General features: G+C 40.3%; 2 long non-coding RNA genes across 2 annotated transcripts in view; both read left to right on the forward strand.

Annotated features, from left to right (window-relative positions):
• The window catches only part of GJD2-DT (GJD2 divergent transcript), a 57,840-nt gene extending 44,834 nt beyond the window's left edge, over positions 1 to 13,006 (forward strand). The window contains exon 3 of the long non-coding RNA NR_120329.1: positions 10,579 to 13,006. This is a non-coding gene — a long non-coding RNA (GJD2 divergent transcript). The remainder of the gene's footprint in view (positions 1 to 10,578) is intronic.
• Positions 5,160 to 6,418, forward strand: LOC107984776 (uncharacterized). Its single transcript, XR_001751477.1, has 3 exons — positions 5,160 to 5,359; positions 5,788 to 5,839; positions 6,266 to 6,418. It is a non-coding gene; the product is annotated as an uncharacterized LOC107984776 (long non-coding RNA).
• Positions 13,007 to 26,289: the final 13,283 nt, after the last annotated feature.

A 26,289-nucleotide genomic window follows, 5' to 3' on the forward strand; every position in this document is an offset into this window, starting at 1 on the left:
TGCAGGCCCCCACACATCCTGGTGTTCAGAGTCCAATATATGAGGCATGGCTAATCTTCACAGCATACTTCCCCGTGTTTTATATGCAACCACCAAGGGGATTAACCCAGGCAGAGGGTATTTGGCCCCAGATGGATTCTGTTCTTGGCAGGTCCCAGCCGTCACTGTCTTCTAACATGATAGGACCAACTGTAATGAACCATTTAATAAGACTCAGAAAAGGAGGGCAGGGGAAGGAGGAAGGGGCACGGAGGAGGGAGAACATAGAAGGGAACATAGAAGGAAGATGCTTCTCTGGATCCTGGTGACTACATTTTTTTTTTTTTTTTTTTTTGAGACAGAGCGTTGCTCTGTCCCCCAGGCTGGAGTGCAGTGGGGCAATCTCAGCTCACTGCAAGTTTCAAGTTATTCTCCTGCCTCAGCCTCTTGAGTAGCTGGGAATACAGGCACACATCACCATTCCTGGCTAATTTTTGTATTTTTAGTAGAGACAGGGTTTCACCATGTTGGCCAGGCTGGTCTCGAGCTCCTGGCCTCAAGTGATCTGCCCGCCTCGGCCTCCCAAAGTGTTGAGATTAAAGGCGTGAGCCACCGCACTCAGACTAAAGACCACATTTTCAGTCTCCTCTATCCTGGTGACGTCAGCGGGAAAGAATCAGAAAGGATTTCTAGATAGCCTTTTAAATTCCTTAAAAGGAGTTTGTCTGTCAAGAATGAAATGCTCACGCCCATGAGTTTCTGCTTGGAAGTTACTACTCTTAGCTCAGATTTGACTTGCTCTGCACACTGGCAGTGACTTTATTTATGGAGTTTCAGTGTTTCAAGTATTACCTGGAGCAAATCCATCTTTCCTGGAGAGCCCAACCATGACAATGTCTGATCTAAGCCTGACCTGCAAGCAGAAGGGCTGGGAGACGTGCATCAGTAGTAAGAACTGTGAGCTCAGAAAACCTCCTGCAGGCTGCTTTCACTCACCTGCATCATGTAGAGCCCATCTCTTCCCCAGCAAAGATCAAGCACTCATCTGACACACAATATTGGTGATGGTAACACTAATTGTTGACATTTCCTGAGAATTTCCTAGAGGCTGGCACTATCCTGCCACTTTCTATGTGTATATGGTCAACATGGTCAGTTTCTAGATGAAGCTGGGCAGACTTCCAGCTGTAGAATCCATTTTTACCCAACTGTTCTCTTTGTTTTGTTTTGTTTTTAATTTTTTTGTACATAGAGACATGGTTTCCCCATGTTGCCCAGGCTGGTCTCTAACCCCTGAGCTCAGGTGATCCAGTTGCCTTGGCCTCCCAAAGTGCGGGATTATAGGTGTGAGCCACCGTGCCCAGCCCCAACTGTTCTTTGATATGATGTCACCAGCCTATGTTGAGGGGCTGTGTAAGAGTAGGTCACCATCTCTATTGTAAGGACATTGTAAGGATGTTTTCATGGATGTTCATCATAGGACACAATCTTCTTTATAAGCCTCCTTGGGAGAATTCCCTGTCTGACTCTGGTACCAAGGGCAGAAGCACATCTACCAACGAACTAGTTTGTTTTGATTTGTGTTCCCTGAATCTAGTGACCAGCTAAGGTTTCACTTTTGGTGTTGGCTAAGAAAAATTTTAGAGAACCACATATGTGGCCCAATTGTTACAGCGATTATAGGTCATTTTGATCTGTTTTACACACCCATCTCTATTTTTTATTTTTATTTTTCTTCTAATTTAGTTTTCATTTTTCTCTCTATCTTTGTAAGCTGGCATAAATCTTGTGTGGGACAAAACAAAGAATGAATGAATAGATAGATAAGAATGAATTTGTAGGAACAATGGAGAACATTTGAAATTACAATTGGGATGGCCATTTTACAAGTAGCTAAGAGTCTGCCATGACTTGCGTATATATCTGTAGTTTTTTCCATCCCAGTGAAAGCATAGGCCAGGTGTGGTGGCTCATGCATGTAATCCCAGCACTTTTGGAGGCCGAGGCAAGTGGATTGCTTGAATCCAGGAGTTCAAGACCAGTCTGGGCAACATGACGAAACCCCCATCTCTACAAAAATACATAATTAGCTGGGCATGGTGGTGCACACCTGTGGTCCTAGCTACTCCAGAGGCTAAGGTGGAAGGATTGCTTGAGCCTGGGATGTCCAGGCTGCAGTGAGCTGTGATCACACCACTGCACTGCAGCCTGAGCGGCAAAGCAAGACCTTGACTCAAACATAAATAAATAAATAAATAGCATATATTGCTTAATGAAAAAAACCCATTACCTGTAAACTATAATGTCATTTTGATTTTCCTCTTAACATGGTAAGTACAACTGGCAATTTAAAACAATATTTCCCTCATTATTAATATAGTATGTGTTTATTGTGATAAACTAGGAAAAAACAGTAAAGCTCTATATTGTAACCTCCCTAAAATAAAACTAAATGTGGCATAAAATTCATAAGGCCTTGGCTTCCATATCTACTTATAGCCGCTGGGCTGAGAAAAGACAAACAGCCTCCTATTCTGGTAGTCTGCAAGAATGTCCACTTGTTCTTCAAAGAGAGACATGCAATGCAAAGAATTTGCATTAAAAGCATTTCTTGGTCCTACTATTATAAAGTAAATTATCTCTAGTCAACAGCTGGAACTAAAGAATGTCAAACTCAGAGCAGGCTCTGCCCTTGGGATTATACCATCTTTATATATCCCACTTATGTATTTCAGAGGGTGGGTTCTGGTTTCCAAGTCAGCTGTTGAACTGTTTCAAACTTGTAGTTTAAAAACTGGTCTACCACAAACATAAAACTAAACCATATGAATATACTGCTGAAGGCATTGTCTTCATGTGGAGGGTCTGAAAGCACTTCTTTTAGAAAAACATCTTTACAGCTATTTTATTATCAAAATTGTTCTTAATTTAGACTACAGATAACCAGTTCATCTTAACCACCTCTTATTTAATTTCATAAATTAAAAATAATAACAAAGGCTTTATCTAAAGCTAGCACTGTGTACCTACAGAACTTGTACGTACAAAATAAAAACAACTGAAAAGCCTTCTTAAGCCGTTACTTGTGCGTGAATGCTGGCACCCATCCAAATAAGTAGGCCTATGGCTTATGATATTCCAGAGAGAAGAGCCAGCCTTTGAGGACTGAGAAGAGAAAATAATCAGCCATTAAACTATGATATGGGCCTTGAAAAGTGATCAGAACAACCTTGAGCATGACCCAAAGGACAGAACAGAGTAAAATACTACATCATCAAAGAAATACCTGCAATGGTTGGGTAACCCTAAGGTGAGAACATTCTTTAAGGATGAACAAGCAAAGTGCTCTCTATTCAGTTAATGTTTTTGCAAACTCTCTTTAAACATGCAATTTTCCAGTGAGAGATTCTAGTGAATTTAATATTACAGCACACTACTTATATTTTTCACAAAAGATTCACACTGGGCTCATTCCTTCACCAATGTATGTAGCCATCTACTTTCTGTGTTCCCTGTTCAGTGATGATAAGGAGTCCGGAGCCCCTCTCTTGAAGTTTCAGAGGGAGAGCCCTGAAGCTTTAATTTGAGCTGATCTCTTAGATTGGCATAATTGACCATTTCTGGTGTCCACCCAAGGATCGCATCACTAAGCTGCTGACTCAAGGTAGTGGGCGAGGCGGAGGAGAGAGGGATGAGGGTAGAAAGAGGGTGATGGGGGAGTGGCCTACAACACCTCTTCCCTCTCATTTCTTTCTGAATAGAAAACTGAAAATGCTAAATCAGAATCACAGACAAATGCAGTTACAAGGGGCTCAGGCTTTGCTTTCATACCTGGCAGTGCAAAACTTTATACTGAGTTTATTTTGTCCAACTCAGGGATGTGGGCCCCAAAAATGATAAGAGAAAAGGCAAAAGTGATCCCATGAGGCAGAAAGCCTTATGTATTAGAACAGCTCCAGTGTTCTGGGTCCTTCTAAAAGTGTGCACACCTCAGGCCTAAATATCAAACCCTAAAATATTATTCCATAATTTACATCTTTATGTAGTCAGAGTTTTCCTTGATCTATCTGGAAACTAACTCTTATTTTGACTAAATGTGAAAGGTTAAATGTTAAATTTGCCTACTTTCTCACCTGGAATATGTTTGTGTGTATCTGAGAGAATCAGTCATGAATGAAAGGTTTATTGTTTCTGTTTCCTACATTTATTTCATTGCAATGTCAAAAGGATAGATTGAGTACATCTTTCCAAATCATCTGATTCAGTCACAATCACATAAACAGGGTTTAAAAACCTTAAGGCTGGTATCAGGCAGCAGCCAAGAATGAACAGATGTTCTTTGTTTTCTCAAATATTTGTGAATGTAAATGGTCCAGATAACATCTCATAATCACCACACTGAAAGTGTGAAATGAATATACCTTTACAAAGAAATGTGGCATGATAGGAAAATATAATGCTCTATTCTTAGAGCATGTGTCATTTCCAATGAAGTATCTTTTACCCTCCTGGTCTCCCTGAACGCTATTTAAATTCTCAGCATTAACCAAGAAGACATTCAGATCTCAGCGACTGATTTTGAACAAAGGGTTTCAAATAATTTCTTTGGGAGATTCAAGGCTTGCTGTCACCGTAGAAATTCAAATGTGTCCCAAGTGTCTCATTTTGCAAACAACTTAGCAAAATATTACAGATGAATAAACTCTTTGATTTGAAACATCATACTTTCTAACTAAATATAATCAAAATAGTGATGCTTATCATACAAATGTAGATATGAACAAAAGGAAAAAGCCAATTCGGTGGCTAAATTGGTGTTCCCTTGAAATCAAGATGTGGTTTATTCAATTTCTTCATTCAATCAATATTTATTGAATGCCTTCTCTATGCAAGACATTGTGGCAGGAACAGTGGGAAATATTAGAGTGCATGAGATGGTGTATGCACACCAAGAGAATGTTTTCATTCTATTAGATAGTACCTAAACCCAGCAAGCCACCACAAAGATCTGTGCTAAGCAGCACGAAAGGGTATTAAACAAAGCCTGAGGGGCTGGAAAAAGGGAGCGAGCCCTTCTCATGAGGGTCCTTGGGCAAGACTTCATAGTTTATGGATTTTGAGCTGAGTCTATGAGGGCTAGTTGATGAATAGATTATGTTTGTAAGCTTTTGCATTATTTTCTGCCTGAATCATGTTTATGAGGAAGACAAAAATATGTTGTTCCCTCTTAAAATAATTACAGTTCGTTCAACAGATACTCACTGAATGCTCACTGTGTACCACATGCTGTACTTCCAAGAAGACAACTTCCGGGTTCCAAGTAAAGTCAGAAATAAGCACACTGCTGAAGGTGCACTGAACTGGTCCTTTCAGATGAAAAGTATGTGAAATGTGTGTGTTTCTGTGTATATTTTAAAGTGTAGCCACATCTTATTCTTTACGAATTGAAAGCTGGAACAGACCCAAGAGAAAGCTCTTCCCCACTTTTCCTAAGTCATTTGCCATGATTGGTTTTCAAAGTCTTTAGGGAGTGAATGATTTCAAGTTCTACTGTTTACATAAATCTTTGACTACTGAAGCCTATTTCAAAAAAAATCTAACCAAACAAACCAAAACTCTTAACCATGGGAAGAGTACTGAAGATTAAGGGAGGAAGGAATTATTACAGTTTCCATTTTTTACTTAGGTATTATTTGAATATTTTTCCAGAAGCATATATTAATTTTATCTATTAAAGAAAGAAAGAAAACAATCTAATGTAACATCCTCTTGCTGAAAGTCAAGCATACTTTTGTCTCATTTGCCCAGGGGAGATGTCTACGTAATAACGTCCATATACTTTAAGAAAGACATTGCATCTGTGAGTATTAAGGCTCTTTTTCACCAGCACTGTTATTTTTAAAACTGTCTTCATATTTGGTCTATAATCTAACTCTGTTCCAAATTTTTTTAGATGTAATAAAATTTCTTTTAGCCAAATTGGTTAGGAATTTGGTTTCTAGTTAAGTTGAAAACTACCATTGTTCAGAGAATTAAGTTCATCTTGATATGCCCACACAAAACTACAGAGAAGATCATTTAATTTTCTTTGATACTGTGAAGTTATTTCCAGAATATTCTCCTTTGGAAAACTAATTTTTGTCACACACTATAGCATAACACATGTGACAGATGTAGACTGTTGGGCCAAACAAAATTATAATATCCTGGAAAGCTGCTTAAATGAATTCACTGTTAGTATCAACATACCTGTTATCTATTTATTTCTTTTAAAAATCAAATATAGATCATGCTTCTGCTTCCAGTCAAGATGGAGCACTCCATTTCTTGCAGATGCTCCCTCTTACAACTGTGGCCATAACACAACAAACAGACCTAGGGAAACTAAAAAGAGGAAAGAAGGTGGACTGCCTAGGGATTTGGGGACTTGAGAAACAAACTGCTGGTAAGTTCTGTAAGTTTCGTTATTGCCTCTCATATATCCCAGACAGGGTGTTGCAGATGCCTCCAACCTAGAGCTGCCAACAGGTACAGACAAAATAAGCTCTAAGAAAAGTCTGTTCCTCCTAGTCAAAGGACCAAGAAGCTGGTGCCCTTGCAATAGGAAGCCTTTTTGGTAATACCTGCCCTACTCTTGCCAAGTACTAATGGGAAAATTATATTCCCTTCTCCACAGTTTCAGTGAGATGGAGTTGAGAGCTGATCTTCCTCCCCATCCCCAGTCTCTGTGGCATCAGATGGTGGTGCTCTGACTCACTTGCCCCGTGGTATTGGTAGGACTGATCAGGGAGCTAGTCTTCCCTTTCCTGCCAGCAGAAGCGGCCAGTGCTCCTATTCTCCCACCAGGGTAGAGTCAACAAGGAGCAGCAGCAAACTGAACCTCTAACCCCCACCCAGCAGCAATGAGACTGTACAACGATGTGCAAAATAGAGCTAATGGGCACTCTGGTCCCCACTCCCGCCCTCACCCAGAAACAACCAGGCAAAATGAGGGGGTGGGATATGGATTCTCATTGCCCATCTACTTCCCTCCATGCCCCCCACCACCACCCAGGTTTCAGCAGCACCAGTGAGAAGCTGACCTCCTGCAGCTACCCTGAAGCCACAAAGCTGTGTGTGTTAGCCCCCTCCTTTCCCACTCCCTGGTAACAATGGAGCCCAGCAGAAAGCTGAGTATCAGAGGAACCTGCCCCCAATATTTCAACATAGGTTTTCTATTTTCCGTAAGTGTTGGCCAGCTGAGAAATAAAGAGAAAGAGTACGAAGAGAGGAATTTTACAGCTGGGCCACCGAGCGTGACATCACATATCGGTAGGACCGTGATGCCCACCTGAGGCTCAAACCAGCAAGTTTTTTATTACGGGTTTCAAAAGGGGAGGGGGTGTAAAACAGGGAGTAGGTACAAAGATCACATGCTTCAAAGGGCAAAAAGCAGAACAAAGATCACATGCTTCCGAGGGAAGAGGACAAAGGCAAAGCAGAACCACTGATAAGGGTCTATGTTCAGCGGTGCATGTATTGTCTTGATAAACATCTTAAACAACAGAAAACAGGGATCGAGAGTAGAGAACCGGTCTGACCACAGATTTACTGGGGCCGGGTTTTTCCCCACCCTAGTAAGCCTGAGGGTACTGCAGGAGACCAGGGCATATCTCAGTCCTTATCTCAACCGCATAGGACAGACATTCCCAGAGCGGCCATTTATAGATCTCCCCCCAGTAATGCATTCCTTCCCCAGGGTATTAATATTAATATTCCTTGCTAGAAAAAGGATTTAGTGATATCTTCCCTACTTGCACGTCCATTTATAGGCTCTCTGCAAGAAGAAAAATGTGGCTGTTTTTGCCTGACCCGGCAGGCAGTCAGACCTTATGGTTGTCTTCCCTTCTTCCCTAAAAATCACTGTTATTCTGTTCTTTTTCAAGGTGCACTGATTTCATATTGTTCAAACACACATGTTTTACAATCAATTTGTACAGTTAACACAATTGTCACAGTGGTTCTGAGGTGACGTACATCCTCAGCTTACGAAAATAACAGGATTAAGAGATTAAAGACAGGCATAAGAAATTATAAAAGTATTACTTGGGAACTGATAAATGTCCATATTAAAATGAAATCTTCACAATTTATGTTCCTCTGCCATGGCTCCAGCCGGTCCCTCCATTCGGGGTCCCTTACTTCCTGCAACAGCTGAGTTTTCATTCCCATTTGGAGGCCAGGAGATGGTAGGAGTCAGTGCCTCTCTTTCACTGGGAAGGTGTCAGTGGGGCCAAATGGGGAGCTGAGCTTCCTCCCACCCACCCCACTGCAGTGAGGCAGTATGAGTCAGCACTCCCTTTTTGCCAGGATGGTGTCAGGAAGCTAAACATACACATCTACCTAGTCTTCAATATCTCAACAGGGGGCTGCCTGCTAATAAAAGAAGATTAAATATGATCCAGAATATAATATAAAAACTGTCAGGATACAATTGAAAATCGCAACATGAATGAGAAAAGACAATTGACAGATACCAACAACAAGATGAATTAGATGCTGGAATTATCTGACAAGAATTTTAAAGCAACCATCATAAAAATACTTCAATAAGCAATCACAAATTCTCTTGAAACAAATGCGAAAAATACTGAGAAAATCTCAGCAAAGAAATAGAAGTTATAAAAAAGAACCAAATGGAAATTATAGAAGTGAAAAATACAATAAGCTAAATAAAATACTTAATGGATGGGCTCAATAATACAGTGGAGATGACAGAGGATAGAATCAGTGAACTTGAGGACAGGTCAACAGATTTTACTCCAGATTAACAGAGAAAAGTGTAGACTGAAAAAAATAAAAACAGTCTCAGAGGCCAGGTGAGGTGGCTCACGCCTGCAGTTCCAACATTTTGGGAGGTAGAGGTGGGTGGATTGCTTGAGCTCAGGAGTTTAAGACCAGCCTGGGAAACATGTGGAAACCCATCTCTATAAAAAATACAAGAAATTAGCCAGGTGTGGTCACACATGCCTGTAGTCCCAGCTATTTGGGAGGCTGAGGTGGGAGGATTGCTTGAGCCTGGGAGGCAGAGGTTGCAGTGAGCCAAGATCATACCACTGCACTACAGTCTGAGTGACAGAGCAAGACCCTGTCTCAAAAAACAAAAACAAACAAACGAACAAAAACCATAAACAGAGTCTCAGGGACCTGTGAGACAATAACAAAAGAGCTAACATTTGTACCATCGGATCCTCAGGAGAGAGAAAGTGGGACTGAAAAAGGTATTCAAAGGAATAATGGTTGAAAAATTCCTGCATTTGGTGAAAGACAGAAATATAGAGATTTAAGAAGCTTAAAGAATCTCAAATAGAATAATTCCAAAGAAATCCACATTAAAACTTATCATCCTTAAAAGTCTGAAAACGAAAGGCAAAGAAAAATCTTGAAAGCAGCCAGAGAGAAACAATACGTTACTTATAGGAAAACACCAATGCAAATGAGGACAGATTTCTCTTCTGAAACCATAGAGGCCAGAATAAAGTGGCACATTTTTCAAGCACTGAAAGAACAGAACTGTAAACCTCAAATTCTGTTTCTGGCAAAAATGTCTGACAGGAATGAAGGGGAAATAAAGACATTCTTAGATGAACAAAAGGTAAGAAAACTCGTTGGTAGCAAATCTATTATTTAGAAAAATGGCTAAAGGAAATAGCAGAAGGCTTAACACTTCAAAAAGGAAAGAATATTGGAATTGGTAAAAGAAATAGGGGTAAATATAATAAATTGTCTTTCTCATGAGTTTCTTAAATCACATTTGATGGTTAAGGCAAAAATTATAACATGCATCTGACATGGTCCTAATCTTGGTAGAGCCAATACTTACAACAATCATCTTTAAGAACCTGGGAGGGTAAAGAGATCTAAATGGAAGAAGGTCTCTGTACTCTACCGGATGTGGCAAAATGCCGTTACCAGTAGACTCGACAATGATGATATCTTTGTATATTGTAATACCTAGAGCAAGCACTAAGAAAAGCGTACAAACAACACACTGTATGACTTCATTTGTATCGTATGCTCAAGATGACAAAATTACAGATTAATGATAGCCAGGGCTTCAGGAAATGGAAAGGAAAGGAAGTAGTTGTGGCTGTAAATGGGTGGTGTGAGGGATCCTTGTGTCGGAACTGTACTGAATTGTAGTGACCATATGCATCTATGTGTGTGATGAAATTGCTTATTACTAAATACGCACACAAACACACACAGACACACAACTGAGTCCATATAAAACTGGTGCTATCTGAATACACTTGACGCGTTGTATCAATGTCAATTTCCTAGTTGTAATATGGTACTCTAGTCAGACCAGATGTTACCACTGGAGAAAACAAGATGAAGGGTATATGGGCTCTCTGGATTGTTTTATTATAACTGCATGTGAACCTGCAATTATCTCAAAATATAAAAGTTTTGGCGATTAAATATAAAGTGTGTGAAAAATCTAGTAATTTCAGTTTCTCAATCAAGTCGATTCTGAATGAATTTTTTATACTTAGGTGATCATAGTTTATGAAATTTAAATAGCAGTGCTAAATGTATCCTATTCTCTATATTTAGAGAAAGCACATTGGCTGGTCCAGTAATACGTCTGGCATGTGGTGCCAGGTGCCATTGAAGCTGAGGAGATTCCAATGTATGCAAGCATGTTTGATGAATCAGGGGCTGATGACTATCGGAAAACTGTGGCGTAATGGAAGATCCCCAGAAGGAGAATTTACAGCTACTTCAAGTGGAATCTGGCACAATGAACAGACTGGCCACAGGAGCTGAAGACTGGAGGAGAGTGACACTTCTAACTAATAGCATCTAAAACATCCCAGATGAGCTACTTCAAGAGTGTTTGTGAACATCTTGAAACAAAGGCCTATCTTGTAAACAAACAGAGCTGTCCCACTAAACTCTCCTGGCCTAGGGCCTCTTCTGGGAGCATTCAGAGAAAGCAGGACTTAGAGGATAGGGAGTTAAACTTCCTGCCCTGGTTCAGATCTGCAACTGAGCAGTGAATGACTCAGCACCAGGAGAAGGCATCTGTGGGCCTGAATGCTGGCAGCCAGGAATAAGTGCAAAGGCTGTGCCAGTGATGGCCAGAGTGGACGGGACATGGCAGTGGAGGCTGGAGTCATAGTCCACAATTTACCCTCAGCATCTGAGAGATACCCCTAGGGAATCCCGGAGCTGTGGAACAAGGAGGAAATTATGTGAGAGATGGGGAGGGGACCAATGCCACTCAGTTTCACAGAGAGGGGTTATCAGGCAAAAGAATATAGGGTAGTTCTTCTGAATCTCGCACACATTGGAATCACTTGGGAACTGATTCCTGGATCTTAGCTCTAACAATTCTGATTTAATTGGTCTGGGTGCATTTGAGCATTTTGGGAAGTTTTTAGTTTCCCAGGAAATTCTAATGTTCAGTCAACGTTGAGAACCATTGATCTAAGCCTAGGGCTCTCCAACTTAAACTTACATCGGAGTCACTTGGAGGGCTTGGTAAGCAGTAAATTACTGATTCCATCCCTAGAGTTTCTGATTCTGTAGGTCTGGAGTGAGGCATGAGAATCTGTATTTCTGTGAAGCTCCCAGATGATGCTGATGCTGAAGGTCTGTGGAACACATTCTGAATGGTACTGACTTGGGTTAAGTATTTATTGAGATGACATTTGTACCCACCATGTGGGGTGGGTGCTGGGGACATTTGGATCATGGAAACAGTATAGAGCAGGACCCAACACATAGGCTTATTAACAGCCTGAGCCTCATGCTGCCTCTGCTGCATTCCAGCTACATGAACTTGAATAATTTACTCAAACTTTCTAGACCTAATTTCCCCATGAGTAAAACAAGAACATTATGGCAGCTACTCACAAGTTGGTCGCAATATTTTTTTTGTTTTGTTTTGAGGCTGGAGTGCAGTGATGCAATCTCCACTCACTGCAACCTCCACCTTCCAGGTTCAAGCGATTCTTGTGCCTCAGACTCCTGAGTAGATGGGATTACAGGTGTGCACCACCATGCCCAGCTAATTTTTGTACTTTTAGTAGAGATGGGTTTTCACTATGTTGGCCAGGCTGGTCTCCAACTCCTGGCCTCAAGTGATCCACCCACCTCAGCCTCCCAAAGTGCTGGGATTACAGGCGTGAGCCACCATGCCTAGCAAATACTTAATATTTTAAAAGTGCTTTTATCACTGATAAACACACTACATACATTATAATAATTTAATCCCCAGCTAACCCTGTGAAGTATTATTTCTCCTGTTTCACAGATGAGGAAGCTGGGAAGTTGGGTTAAGTAACTTGCCTTAGTCACACAGGTAGTTAGGATTGGCTTAGAATCTGAACCCAGGCAATCTGAATCCAAAGCCCATATACTTCACTATTATACTATACTAGTGCAACAAATATGAGCTACTATGGATAGTGATTATATTAAGAATTAAATGTAATGAAATTCTTAAAACTCCAGTTCATTGTTTTCATGAAACACAAATAGAACACAGTAGATATGAGGAATTGCTATAATTAAATCTAAACTCAGTTCTCTAAACCAGTGTTTCTCCAAGTGTGTCTTGAGATTACCTACAAAGAAATCATTTGGAAACTCCCTACCTCAAATCTTTGGAACCACAATCTCTTGGGGGCAGAGCTACAGAATCTGAGATTTTAAATAAGTTCCCAAGGAGAGCTGGTTTCCCAGCTGTAGTCTGAGTCACATGCCTATAAATTAAACATATTTAGTAATCATTCTTTTCGTATTTCTCAGACTGATCTAGTGTTTTTCTCAATGTTATTTTTTATGAATTTAGAATACACTATTTTGAGTAGCTCAAGTAGAATTGTCTACAGTTTGAGAAAATAAAACCTATCCTTTAAGCTTTCGTAAGTAGGCAAATAAAATAATAATCTGGCTTAAAATCAAAATCATTATGATATGTGGTGGTGAGGGAAGAGAGAGACCCTCTCATATTGTTTTATATTGTTTTATACTCAGAAAAGGAAAGAAAAGCAAAACTAAAGGCAGGTAGCCTGGTGCCTAGGAACCAGACCCGAAACCAGGCCTGGGCCTGCCTGACCTAAGCCTGGTAGTTAAAATTAGACCCCTGATCTAGCAACTGATGTTATCTATAGATTCCAGACATTGTATGGAAGGACACTGTGAAACCTCCTGTTCTGTTCTGTTTCACTCGGACCACTGGTGCTTGCAGCCCCTGTCACATACCCCCTGGCTTGCTCAATCGATCACGACTGTCTCATGCGGACCCCCTTAGAGTTGTGAGCCCTTAAAAGGGACAGAAGTTCAGCATCTGACGAGCTCGGATTTTAAGACACTAGCCTGCCGATGCTCCCAGCTGATTAAAGCCACTCCCTTCCCTATCTCGGTGTCTGAGGGGTTTTGTCTGTGGCTTGTACTGCTACAGTGGCTCAAGAACCCAACTGGACAAATAAAATAAGCAAACAATTTCATTTTAGAGATAAAATTAAATTATAGCTGTATCTCTGACCTTCCTGTTGTACTTCCTCAGTTTAAACAGCTGAGTAATTAAGACTTTTTAAATGTAGAATTTACTGACACAGTAAAGTCAGTTATATATTTATTTATTTATTTATTTATTTATTTTCAGACTCAACAGAGATAGGACACTGTGAAGTTTTACAGGAAACCATTCCTATTTGAGGAATTCCTCTGATTCAATGTTGTCAATGAGCACTTAAACGTCAATGACAAAAGTTTCCACTCTGGCTATGATGGACTGGCATGTTACCACCCAGTACAACTGGAAAAGTTGCATAAACTTTTTTTAAACAAGTTCTTTGAAAACACAGGCACATTATCAAAGGAGGGAGAACTTTAGGGGCTAACGTGGCTGAGAGAGGGGAAGCAAAGAGTTGAGCCCAGTATCTGTTGCTGCTTTTTCCCTTGTGGTATTTGCCAATTTGTAGGGGAGAGAGAGAGAGAGAGAGATACAGAGAGAGAGAGAGAGAGACCCAAGTAGAGCAGAAGCTGAGAAAAAACTGGCAGCAAAGGCTCAGGAATTGAGCAGCAGTGTAAGCAGTCTCATGGGGCTGGGGTGGGAGAGAAAGAATTGGAGTATAGGGCCTGCTGAAGAAGAGTGTCCGTGGTAAAAGACCAGTCCTTCAGCTGTGATCCACAAAGGGCTACATCTTAGGAGTAAAGACAGACTGACAGCAAACAGACTTTGAGTCAGCTCAATCCCAGGCTAGTTGGAAGTGATTGGCAGTACCCTGTCTGTCAAAATCAAAAGTAAATATCCCCTGGAGGAGGATAACCTTGTACAGAGCCTCAAATCATTGCTATAGTTTTTCATACATAATATCTGGCAAGTAACAAAGAAAGTACTTGGCCAGATCAAATCACTGAAAAATCACAAGGAAAAAAAAAAAAGACAATGGAAAGTGACCAGCAGGAGATCCGGATACACAGCTTATGGGTTTTTTAATGATTACTATGTTCAAGATAATAAATGGCAAATAGGTAATTTCATCAAAGAATTATAATCCATTAAGGAGACTCACATGAAATTCTTAAACTGAAAATATTATGCAAATGAATAACTTAGTAGATGAATTTAAAAGCATGTTGACACAGTTGAAAAGAGGATTAGTGAGCTTTAAGGTACTAGACTATATCCAGACTAAAGCTTAGAGAGCAAAAGAAATACAGTAAAGAGCTAAAAGGCAAATGGAATATGGTGAAAAGTTTAGTACACATGCATTTGGAGCTCAAAAAGGAAAGGGAGAAGAGAATATGACAAAAGCAATATTTGAATAGATAATGATCAAGAATTCTACTAAAGTGGCTGGGCGCCATGGCTCATGCCTATAATCGTAGCACTTTGGGTGGCTGAGATGGGTGGATTACTGAGGTCAGGAGTTTGAGACCAGCCTAGCCAACACGGTGAAACCCCCTCGCTACAAAAATACAAAAATTAGCCAGGTGTGGTGGCATACACCTGTAGTCCCAGCTACCCAGGAGGCTGAGGCAGGAGAATCACTTGAACTTGGGAGGCAGAGATTGCAGTGAGCTGAGATCATGCCACTGCACTCCAGCCTGGGCAACACAGCAAGACTCCATCTCAAAAAAAAAGTATTCTTCTAAAATGAAGGAAGACATTAATTCACAAGTCCAAATTTCTACAAACCTTAAACTGAGTAAACACAAAGAAAATTGGACTAGGCACATCGTATGAAAGTGCTGAAAATGAGAGAAAAAAAGAAAATCTTGTAAGCAGCCAAAGAAAAAGATACATTTTTATCAAATAAGTGGTAATAGCAATGAGAATGGCTTCTCAACAAGGTGGAAGCCAACGGCAACATAGTAACATCTTCTAGCGCAAAAGTCAGGCACAGTGATAAGAGGAGCTAAAGTGTTCAAAGGTGCTGGCATTCTCTGGGAAGTAGTAAAAGGACCAATTGATATTAGACTATAATAAAGCAAGAATACAAACTGTGTTATCTAAGATAACATCAAAAGCTTAGCAAAGTAATGTGTATCTAACAACTAACATGAGGAAAAGTGAAGTAGTAAAACTACTTAATCACAAAGAAATGAAAAATTAATTTAAAACAGGTTGGATAGATAAACACAAGGTAGTAGATATAAACCTAATATAATAATAACTACATAAATATGAATGAACTAATATTCTAATTAAAAGAGAGAGATTGTTAGACTGGAGTTAAAAGTTCAATTATATAATGCACACCTAAAATATAAAGGTACAAAAAAGTTGAAACAGTGAGAGATAGAGGCATATTCTGCAAATGTGAACCAAAGAAAGCTGGTGTGATTATAATAATATCAGACAAAGTAAACTTAAAGACAGGAAGCATTACTGGAAAGTAAGAAGAACATTTTGTAATGATAAAAGTGCCAATCTAACAGGAAGATATAAAAGTAGTAAATTTGGATGCATCTAATAAAATGCCTCAAAAGTGTAGAGAAAATCTGACAGAAATTAAAGAAGCAATCTAAAAATCTACAAGCAAAACCAGAAGATTAAAAAAAAAACAGACTATAGAGGAGTTGAATCACAAGACAGGGTCAAATATTCACAAGATTCCACCTAAATGACACACAGAATACTCTGTATCCAACAAAATACACATGCATTTCAAATATCCAGCGAATACTAGCAAAGCATAATGATATAGTGGACTATAAAGCAAGTATCAACAAATGTCAAAAAACAGAAATTATATGGAGTATTTTTTTCTAACAATAACAAAGAGATAGTTAGAACACTCCCAGATGTTTGCAATATAATCCATGGCATATGGGTGACATTACAGTGGAAATAAGAAAATGTTTCAAACCAAATTGAGAAAATATAACATCTCAAAACTTACAGGATGTCACTAAGCCTTAAACACATATATTAGAAAAAAAAAGTAAAGATTGCAAATGAATAAACAGAAAATCTTTCTCAGTAAATTAGGGGAAAAAAAAATTAAGAGCTAAGAAAACCAAAGAAAAGAAACTATAAAAATAAGGGCAGAAATTAGTAAAATAGAAAATAAATAAATAAATAAAAGCAACAAAGCCTAAAGGTTGTTCTTTCAACAAAAGCTAATAATGATCTCTGTTGGAGTAGAGGTTATTGAAAAAAAAAAGCTAATAAAGTTTATAAACTTATAGTAAAACTGATTGATTTAAAAAGAGAGAGAAAGCATATATTACCAATATCAGATATGAAAAAGGGACATCATTTCCTTCAGATATTTAACAAATAAGATATTATAAACAATTTTATATCAAGATCTGTAAAGATGCTGATGAAAGGGAAAAATTCTACAAAAACCCAATTTACCAAAACCAACACAACAATAAATAGAAGCTGAATAATTTCATATCTATTATATAAACTGAATGTATAATACAAATATTTCCCACAAAAAGAAGTCTCTAGATCCATTAGCTTCCTTAGTAAATCTAACAAAACATTTAAGAAGTAAATAATATCGACATTACACAAACTCTTCTGGAGAAGAGAAAAAAGGGGGGAAATTTCCCAACTCTTTTCGGGAGGACAGCATAACATTTATATCAAAACCTAACAAGACTATTAAAAGACAGAAAAATGTAAGCTAATCTCTCTTGAACATAGATGCAATAATCCTAAACAAAATGTTAGAGAGTAGAATACAGCAATATGTAGAGGATAATATAACGTGACCAGTTGAGCTCATAAATGGAAAGATATGTCATTTCTCTCCACTTCATGAACACATCTCTTTTAACTCTATTGAGTCAAAAGATTTAACATTATAAAGAGGTCAATTCAACCTAAATTAATTTTTAAATGCAATGCGATGCCATCAAATTGCCAGCTGTGTGTGTTTGTAAATCAAAATGCTGATTTTAAAATTACATAGAAATACAAAAGGCCATGAATAACTACAGTAACCTTAAAGAGCAACAAAGCTGAAAGACTTAAACTACTGAATATCAAGATTTATTAGGAAGCTATAATAATTAGACAGTGTTGTATTGGTGCAAGGTAAGACAAATAGAGTCCAGAAAATGACCCACACGTATATGTATACTTGATTTTACCAAATGTCACCCCAAATAATATTGAAGAAATCATGGCCTTTTCAATAAATTGTGCTGAATCAATTGGATAACCATATAAGAAAAATGAATAAAGACTCCATCTCACACCATCTACAAAAATCAATTCTAAGTGAATCATAGATCTAAATGGGCAAGTTTAAAAATCAAATTCCTAGAATATAACATTGAATAATACATTGATTACTTTGAGATAAGCAAAGATTTCTTAAACAAAAAACACTAACCACAGGATAACGATAAATTGGACAACAACATCTTTGCCTCAACAAAGGTTATATTAAGAGGTTGAAAAGATAAGCAAACTTATGGAAGAAAATATTTACAATACATTTATGCAATAAGGGGCTTAGATCCAGGTTAAATAGGAATTCCTATAAATCAATGAGAAAAAGGCAGACAAGCCAATATAAAAATGGATGAAAGATGCAAATAGGCACTACACAAAAGAGGCTATCTATGCAGCCAATAAATGTATGAAGAGAGTAAGAGAAAAATGCAAATAAAATTACGAGAGCCAGTAGAATGGCTAAAATTGTTATAGTTTCTTTTCTCTCTTTCTCTTTCTCCCTCCCCAGTCATACAGTTTAGGGCTCTTCCAGGAATATAATCTCTAATCTTTCTTGCCAAATCATGTTTCTCCTTTTCTTCTAATCTCTTTAGGCATTCCCTTTCAGAAAAAAAAAAAAAAAAAAAAAAAATCTTTCCAGCACACCACCACCTGACTCCCAGCACAAGAATAAACTCCTTCCTGGGCCAACACCCCCTAGCCAGTCACTGCTTTCCCCAGCTCCCATCTTCTAAGCATACGCAGGTTGCCCATTCTGTATATATTGGAGCTCATAAACACAGGAGCTTCAGCCAGGTGTCTTTAATATCTTCTTCATGCTTATCTTCTCTCTCCTTTTGAAATTCAGACTTCCAAAGGCCAAGAACCATAACGTTTATCTACAGCCCACAAATGAATTATAATTTTAATGGATTGATTCTAAGAAAAATAAAATGGTTTTAAAGAATTTTGTTTTTATCTGTTCCAAAGGAAGGTTTATTCCATATTTTGATTACTGAGAGTGTTTGGATGAGGGGGGAGAAGAAACAAAGAGTTTAGTCATCTTTGCTATTGCTTATTTTCAACTTACTGCTTTCACAGTCTTAAAAAACCACCAAAGGATTGTATAATACATCTTCTGAGCAATAAACTGAGAAAAAATTCTTAGCATGTGACAAATCATCTCCACATTCTGCTGAGTTACACTGAAAAAAATAAATTAGGATATGTGTGAGTTGGCAGAAGAAGAGGGAGGATACGCAGCTAAGCAGCTTCTACCCTGGGCATCAGTGGACTGACTATGTATCACATTATGCCAATACAATGGAAAACAACCTAACTTTGGCCAAACAAAGCAGGGAACAATCGTGAGAGTGTGAGACCTATGCTGAACTTGTCGCTCTGCCCTGCCTGCATAGTCAGGGCCAGATTCCTATCCTGTGCTAATTTATGGATCTTCTCTGGTAGAAAGTAGGATGTGAATCTCACCTCCAATGTGAGTTTGAGATGTTTGATTTAGGGAATTCATGGAAACAGAAATAAAAAGCAACCAACTCACGACCACATTTCTTTTCATTAAAGGGTCAGCAGGTCTTCAAAGCTGATGTCTCCTGTTTCATATAAATGAAAAGAAAATCTGATGACACAAGGCCAGGAAAGTAAACACTATGTTTATAATTAGAAGTTCTTCCAGTGATCTGTTCATGTCCCTGTGTGATCAAATATAGTCTGAACACTGCCTGATGCACCTGGTGACAAAAAGTCCTCCCTGCAAGGAAAAAGCCCCCCACACATAAGAAAAATGTCCACATTACCTGGCCACCTTTCCACCCAGCTGTGCTGCTGTGGGTAGCATAGAATGGCAGGAAGCCTCTCTGGGAATATTTGTCCTACTGCCTTCTCTCCAGTTCTTGAAACTATATCTCTTTCTGTTCAACTAATTAGAGACTTATTAAAAATTATCAGGACATTTACTTTTCCCCTTACCCCAGTAAGGGTAAGCCTGTTCCTATTGTATTGTGTATGCAGATTACCATTGGTTATTTCCATTAGGTTTTGTGCAATTTGATTATCTAAAGGCAAAGATTCTGATTGGAACCAAAGTAAGTTGCTGGCTTGAGCTAGCTGCCACGATGAAAGGAGGGCCACAGGTGCCATTGCAATTGTCACAATGTCTAGTTTTGGGACAACAAAGAGCAGAATGCTAACTGGTACAGAGGGGGCATAGTTAGAAGACTGCCAGGGAACCTGAAAGTGGAGAGAAGGTTTGTGAAGAGGAAGTGTGTATTATTTTTCTCAAGTGCCCTCCTGCAGGCAGTTGTTGGGTGTTGTAATTCTTGATAGCTGGAATTCTGCAATGGATGGTCCACTCCCTAATATTCATTTGAAAAAAGTATAGGGCACAATCCCCCCAAAATTTTGTCCAGGCAAAGTTTTGAATGGAGAAAGGGGTTAGTTACTACAAGGCTGGAGTAATCAGGGAAGGCTTCCGGGAAAAGGTAGTATTTGGCCTTGAGGTCTGGGTAGAGTTGACCAATAGGCTAGAAAAGGGAATGGCATCCCAAATAAGAGGCAGAGAAAAAGCAAAGCCACGGAGATGGAAAAGTTCAAGATTTTTTCAACAAAAACTAAGAAAAGTGGCCAGGCTGAAGGGGAGAACTTCAGGAATACGGCTTATTAAATGCACTTAACAGTAATTGAGACAGAGATGCTTTCCAATGACTCACTTCTTAATCAAAAACGTGCTTTTTAACCGGAAGTAATGATAATATCAGAAGCACAAGGGTAAATCTAAGACACCAGAAAAGGCTGGTTTGAGTACAAACCTAATAATAAAGACAATATCCATGTGACTGACAAAAAGCTCCAACCCTAGCTCAAGCCATCATCCACCTTCTCCAGGCGGATAGCTGAGCAGATGAGGACTGAGGAGGACATTTTACCCCATAGAACAACAGCTGCCCACTCATCTTTCTATGTTTCTCTAGTCAGCCAATGATTAAATTTCTGTATTATTCCACATCTTTTCCATTCTCTTCAAACCTTCAACGATTCAATGAACTTCCACTCCTGAGACAGGCCTGTGAAAAGGAGTTTTAGAAATGAGGTTAATGGATTAATCCAAGTCACTCCCGAGAGCTTGGAACATGTTATCTCTAGCAGCGTTTTTTTTTTTTTTTGGAGACAAGGTGTCACCCAGTGTCACACAGGCTGGAGCGCAGTGGCACAATCTTGGCTCACTGCAGCCTCCACTTCCCAGGCTTAAGCAATCCTCCCATCTTAGCCTCCCAAGTGGCTGGGGCCACAGGTGTGTGCCATCACACTTGGCTAATTTTATTTTTGATTTTTTTTTTTTTGTAGAGACAAGGTTTCACTATATTGCCCAAGTTGTCTAATAGCATCTTTTCTAAGACTTCTCTTATCCCTTCCTTCCTTTCCTGAATTTCTGCTTCCATACTGTATACACACTAACTCCAAGGCTTTCCTCTGACTTGTCTAGTTTTCCACAGTTGCATGCTGGTAAGCTGGCTCTCTGAAAAAAATAAAGCCTTCATTTGTATTGTTGGCTGATTTCTGTTGTGGACGTACTTCCACCATGGCCAATTTCAAGCTACTATCATCTTGAAATATGAAACAACCGATCCACAGGAGCAGGCTCTCTGGGTTACCTGTGCTGCATTGTGCAATCTTCTCATTTCTCAGACAACTGTTCCTACAGGCCTCCATTCCCTGGCCTTTATAGGGATTTTGAGCTTCAAAACAGGGTCAAGACAGTCAGGATCAGCCAGCTGAAGTATCCTTAAATCACTCACATTAGACCTGTAGGATGCTAACTACATGTTCTATGGTTCCACATGTTGGGGCTCACCTTTTATCGCTTACGAAGTTCAATATTCGAGCAGGACCAGGTAATGTTAGGGAAGCACAAAAAGAAGCATTAAAGAGCTTCTTCCCTCCTCAGCAAATGTCTGGCTCCTTAGCATTCTGGGATATTTCTTGTGCTTGCTTGACAAGAGGCAAGAACTCATCTCTTTTGCATGCTCCATCAGTGCTTGATAAACTTCAAGGTATGTACAATTACCTGGGGCCCTTGATAAAATGTAGATCCTAATTTAGGAGGGAGGTCAGGATGCTGAGAGTTAGGCATTTTTAACAAGCTCTGAGATGATATGTGTGCTGCTGGTCCAAGGTCTACACTAGCAGTATCTTTAAAACATTCCTCCCACCTGCACCTTCTTTCCCAATAACCAACCGCAATTTCAAGCTCATACTCAATTCCCTGGCTAACACCCCTGTCTCCAGGTCCTCAATCCAGTTTTAGCAATGCCCTTAGCCCTTATGCATTTTTAATTTGGTCTATTTATATAGTGTCACTTTTCCATTTGTGTTCGCATGCACATAATAGCTATTTACATCTTCCCTTGAATCTTCAAGAACAGAGGCTATGACTTTTTTTTCCCTTTTCCTCTCTGCTTTGAGCCGGGTACGGAGCTCTACATAGGTCACCTCAGGGGAACAGCATTCATAAATGTCAATCAGTGCCATCTGGTGTCTCATTGTCCCTGTTGCTTTCTAAGTCCTTCCCTGTCTTGACCCTCTTTTCTCTGTGCTATGTACTTCTCTTTCTTCCTCTCCAGTGTGTGTCATTGAAAAAGCCAGCAACTGTGGGTAAACCCAATCCATCCCGCTTCAGCATGTGAGGCAGAAGAGTGTTAAGAGCCCAGAATTTGGGTCCTTTGAGAAAGTCCTGAATGAGTTCAAATCCCACTTTCACCTCTTCTGTTTGAATCAGTTATTTTGCCTCTCTAAGACTCTTTCCTCGTAAAAAGGGGATAATGGTGTCAAACTCAAGCAGTTATAGGGTTTGAAAAAATAGCTCATGGAAAGCACTTAATACAGTGCCTAGCACAGAGTAAAACTGCGTAGCTTTAAGAAAATTATGTAGGGCAGGGCGCAGTGGCTCACACCTGTAATCCCAGCACTTAGGGAGGCCAAGGCGGGCAGATCACCTGACGCCAGGAGGTTGAGACCAGCCTTGCCAACATGGCGAAACCCCGTCTCTACTAAAAATAAAAAATAAATAAAAAATAAATTAGCGGGAGCCTGTAATCCCAGCGACTTGGGAGGCTGAGGCAGGAGAATCACTTGAACCCAGGAGGCAGAAGTTGCAGCGAGCCAAGATCATGCCACTGCATTCCAGCCTGGGCAACAGAGCCAGACTCTGTCTCAAAAAAAAAAAAAAAAATTATGTAAACCCTCTGCGTCTTGATTCCCTCGTGGGCAAAATAGGAATAATAGTACCCATCTTACAGGGCATTTGTGAGGATGAAATGAAACACTGCATGTGGGGGTTGCCTCAAGACTCAACCCACACTATCTCCTCTTGATTATCCCCTCTGCCCAGTCCCCTCCGCCATGTGCGTGGAATTCCTGAGGTTGCTGCAAATTTCTTGCTCTGGATGCATTTTCTCTCCTCCATGGCCCACTGCTCCCATTCTCTTGGGCTTCCTTCCTTTTCTCCCTTCCCCTTGTGATTTAAATAGACTGGTAAAGAAAGATAAAAGAGTCCAACTTTATCTGAGACCAAGTTCTCACTCTTTTTCTGTCCTCCAGCCAAGGCCTCCTTTCAATTCCCAAAATGCATCAAACTCTCCCACCCTTCACAAAGATCCTCTGCCTGGAATGATATTCTTCTCTCTTCTGTTTATTCCATTCTATTCTACCCCATTTCTAAGGCTGAGCTCAAAGACAGCCTTTGCTGACTTAGGTGGTTGTACCCCGTGCTTCTCAGCATCTAAATGTAATTTTTAATAATAATATAATATGCAATGAGTTATGTTTTACTTGTGTGCTCTGCTAGAGCAAGGGTTCTCAAAGTACATGGTACCTGGACCAAGAGCATCAGAATCTCCTGGGAAATTGTCGGGGATGTAACTCCTCCAGACTTACTGAATCCCACACTCTGGATGTGGGGCCCAGCATGGAGGGTTTTAAGCAGGCTTCATGTCATTCTGCTGCATCCTGAAATTTGAGCACCACTCAGACAGAGTCTTAACTCCTTGAGAGGCAAGGAGCACATCTGCTTGTTGTATTGCCACATCCTCATTGTCTACCTCAGCATCCTATGAGAGATATGCACCTGATAAGTATTTGTTGGATAAATGAGTACATGGCCCATGAACCTGAGGCGGAGCTCTCTGCACTTAGAGGTAGGGTGCATGTTCATTTAGGTTAAAAATAAACTCTCTGTGACATAAAGGCATACGAATTCTGGGAATTTATTTATCCTCAGTCAATGCTGTTGGCCAGGACCAGCTCACTTAGGGCCTCACAAGACCTCATTAAGGATGTTAATCTTTATCTTAAGAGAAATTTAAAGATATCAAAAGATTTAAACAGTGGAAGGCGGTTTTAAAGGCAGCATAGAAGGTGCTACAGCTAAGAGGTCTAAGCTTCACAGGAGGAGCTTTGTTCTGAAAGGAAGGGGCAGCAATGGTGACAAGTGAAGACAAAGGACTCTGGGGAGTGTGAGAGAAGGAGTATGTGCCCCTCAGAAGGGCTGGTGAGAAAAGACCTTGGGGAGGCACCTGACTGAGCTAAGGCCAAGGGCAAGAGGAGGGAGAAGACATTGAAGAAGAGGGCAGAGGGAACTGGGGAGCTGGAGGATGCCCCTGGAGCTGCAGGAACACTCTGGAAAGAGGTAAGAGTGTGTCTGCAGGGACAAATGGTGGAGTTCCAGGAGGAAGAACGGCATGAACAATGCAATCCCAACGGTCTCTTGCAGGAAGGTGGGCACTGGGTCTAAGGGCAGAGGTCAAGGCTTGTGATGGTATCTGCCAGGCAGCACGATCTCACATAAATTGGCTTACGGCTTGCTTAATTTCTAATCAGGAGGAGTTTAGAGTGGCTCAGCATTAAGCGGGTCCTTGTTCTATTAATAGTACTTGGATTCTGCCTTGATTCTTAGAACCTTATACCCCAGATCCAATACGGGTTCTTATCCTCCTAAGTTACTGGATACTTAGTTCAGAATACTGCTAGTATTCTGAAAACTGGGGTTTAAATCCTCCTCTTGAATCATATTCTCATGCCTGGGTCCCCTCTTTCTGAAGCCAGATTTCTTTGATGACAACTGTCAAGCAAATGACACCTGTTATCATTTCCAGACCTTCAGGGGAGAAGTGCACTCCACCAGGAGCAATGGTCCCAGGATGTCAGCCCATTCCATGGTTTGAGGTCACCAAAAACACCAGCCTCATGCAGGCACTGGATAGAACAATGCTTTGCTCACACAGAGAAGAGACAGAGCAAGATCAGTTTCAACAGTGGGCATTACTCCCCCATGGCCAGCAGCTGATGCGGGGTGAGTATCTGCACACACTCCCCTCATGCTGCAAGCAAAGGACTCAGCTCTCTCCATGTTGGGAATAGATATCGTAGTGTGGTCGGCCAGGTACCAAATGATACACCAGCTTAGGCAAACACAGGAGTCCATATTGAGTGAAAAGGGAGGTATTCCCACACAAGGTGATAAGCCCAGCACAGCTGTGAGGGCTCTTTAAACTCTCAGTAAAGAAGTGCTCCAGGCCCAAAGCTCATGCTTATGTGTCCAGGCAGATGTCTCAGGACCGCTTGCACGTGACGGCCTTTCCCAACAATTATCTCACAGAATCTTGCAGGGCTTACAGTTGAAGGAAGTCTTTAGGGTCATTCCATCTACTTTCCTATCCGTGTCATTTTGTCCACTGTCTATTTAGATTTGGCTGCCAGACATCAGGATGCTCAGTTAGCTGGCCCAACTCTTATGCTGTGTGCCAGTGAATTTACCCAGTTCCCAGCCATCCCTGGGACTGGTCCAAACAGCTATTACATCACATTTTTGACACTTGAGAGATTGAATATACAAATAAAAAATGGTCAGACCACATATGTCAATAGAACTCTGATGCTCAAGCTCTGCAGCAAGCAAAACCTCAACCTCTAGCAATCCTTCCAGAAAGGTCAGAACTTGGTCAATGACTGTCAGATTCCCTCCTTTTTTATCCCTGCTTCCAACTCAGGACCAGCCAGAGAAAGCCAAATATGCTTTCCGAACCAATCACATAAGATGCTCTGCTTCTAGTCAGCCTACCTCTAGCTTCCTCATGCCAACAACCTCCAAGCAGAGCATACCTGAAATTTCTTTCTTTCACTATAAAACTTTCCTACTCCCCTGCCTGCCTCTGAGTCTCTGCCAAACGCCAGTGATGGTGGCTGGCTCCCTTGTTATAGCCAGCTCTGAATAGCCTCTGTTTGTTCTCAAGTGGTATTCATTTACATCCAAATTCATGGACAATAAATTAAATGAATTTGGAATGATCTCCTAGACATCATGGACGTGGTAGGAGGAAACATGCTGAAAGTAGTCTGAGGTGAACAGAAGTGCATTTTAAAAAGATACTTAAGTTGATATGGAAACCCGTGGTCAGGTGGATTCCCACACAACAAAGAACGTTTGGTTAGGGATAAAAGGAAAGAGAAAGACACACACTGTTTCTAGAGAATATGCTGTAAGCCACCAAGCCAGGTTAAAGATAAAGGAAATATATTCATAATATAGATTATAGTGCTGGCAAAAAGACAAATTTTGA

This window comes from Homo sapiens, chromosome 15 (genome assembly GCF_000001405.40).
Source record: "Homo sapiens chromosome 15, GRCh38.p14 Primary Assembly".
Lineage (NCBI taxonomy): Eukaryota > Metazoa > Chordata > Mammalia > Primates > Hominidae > Homo > Homo sapiens.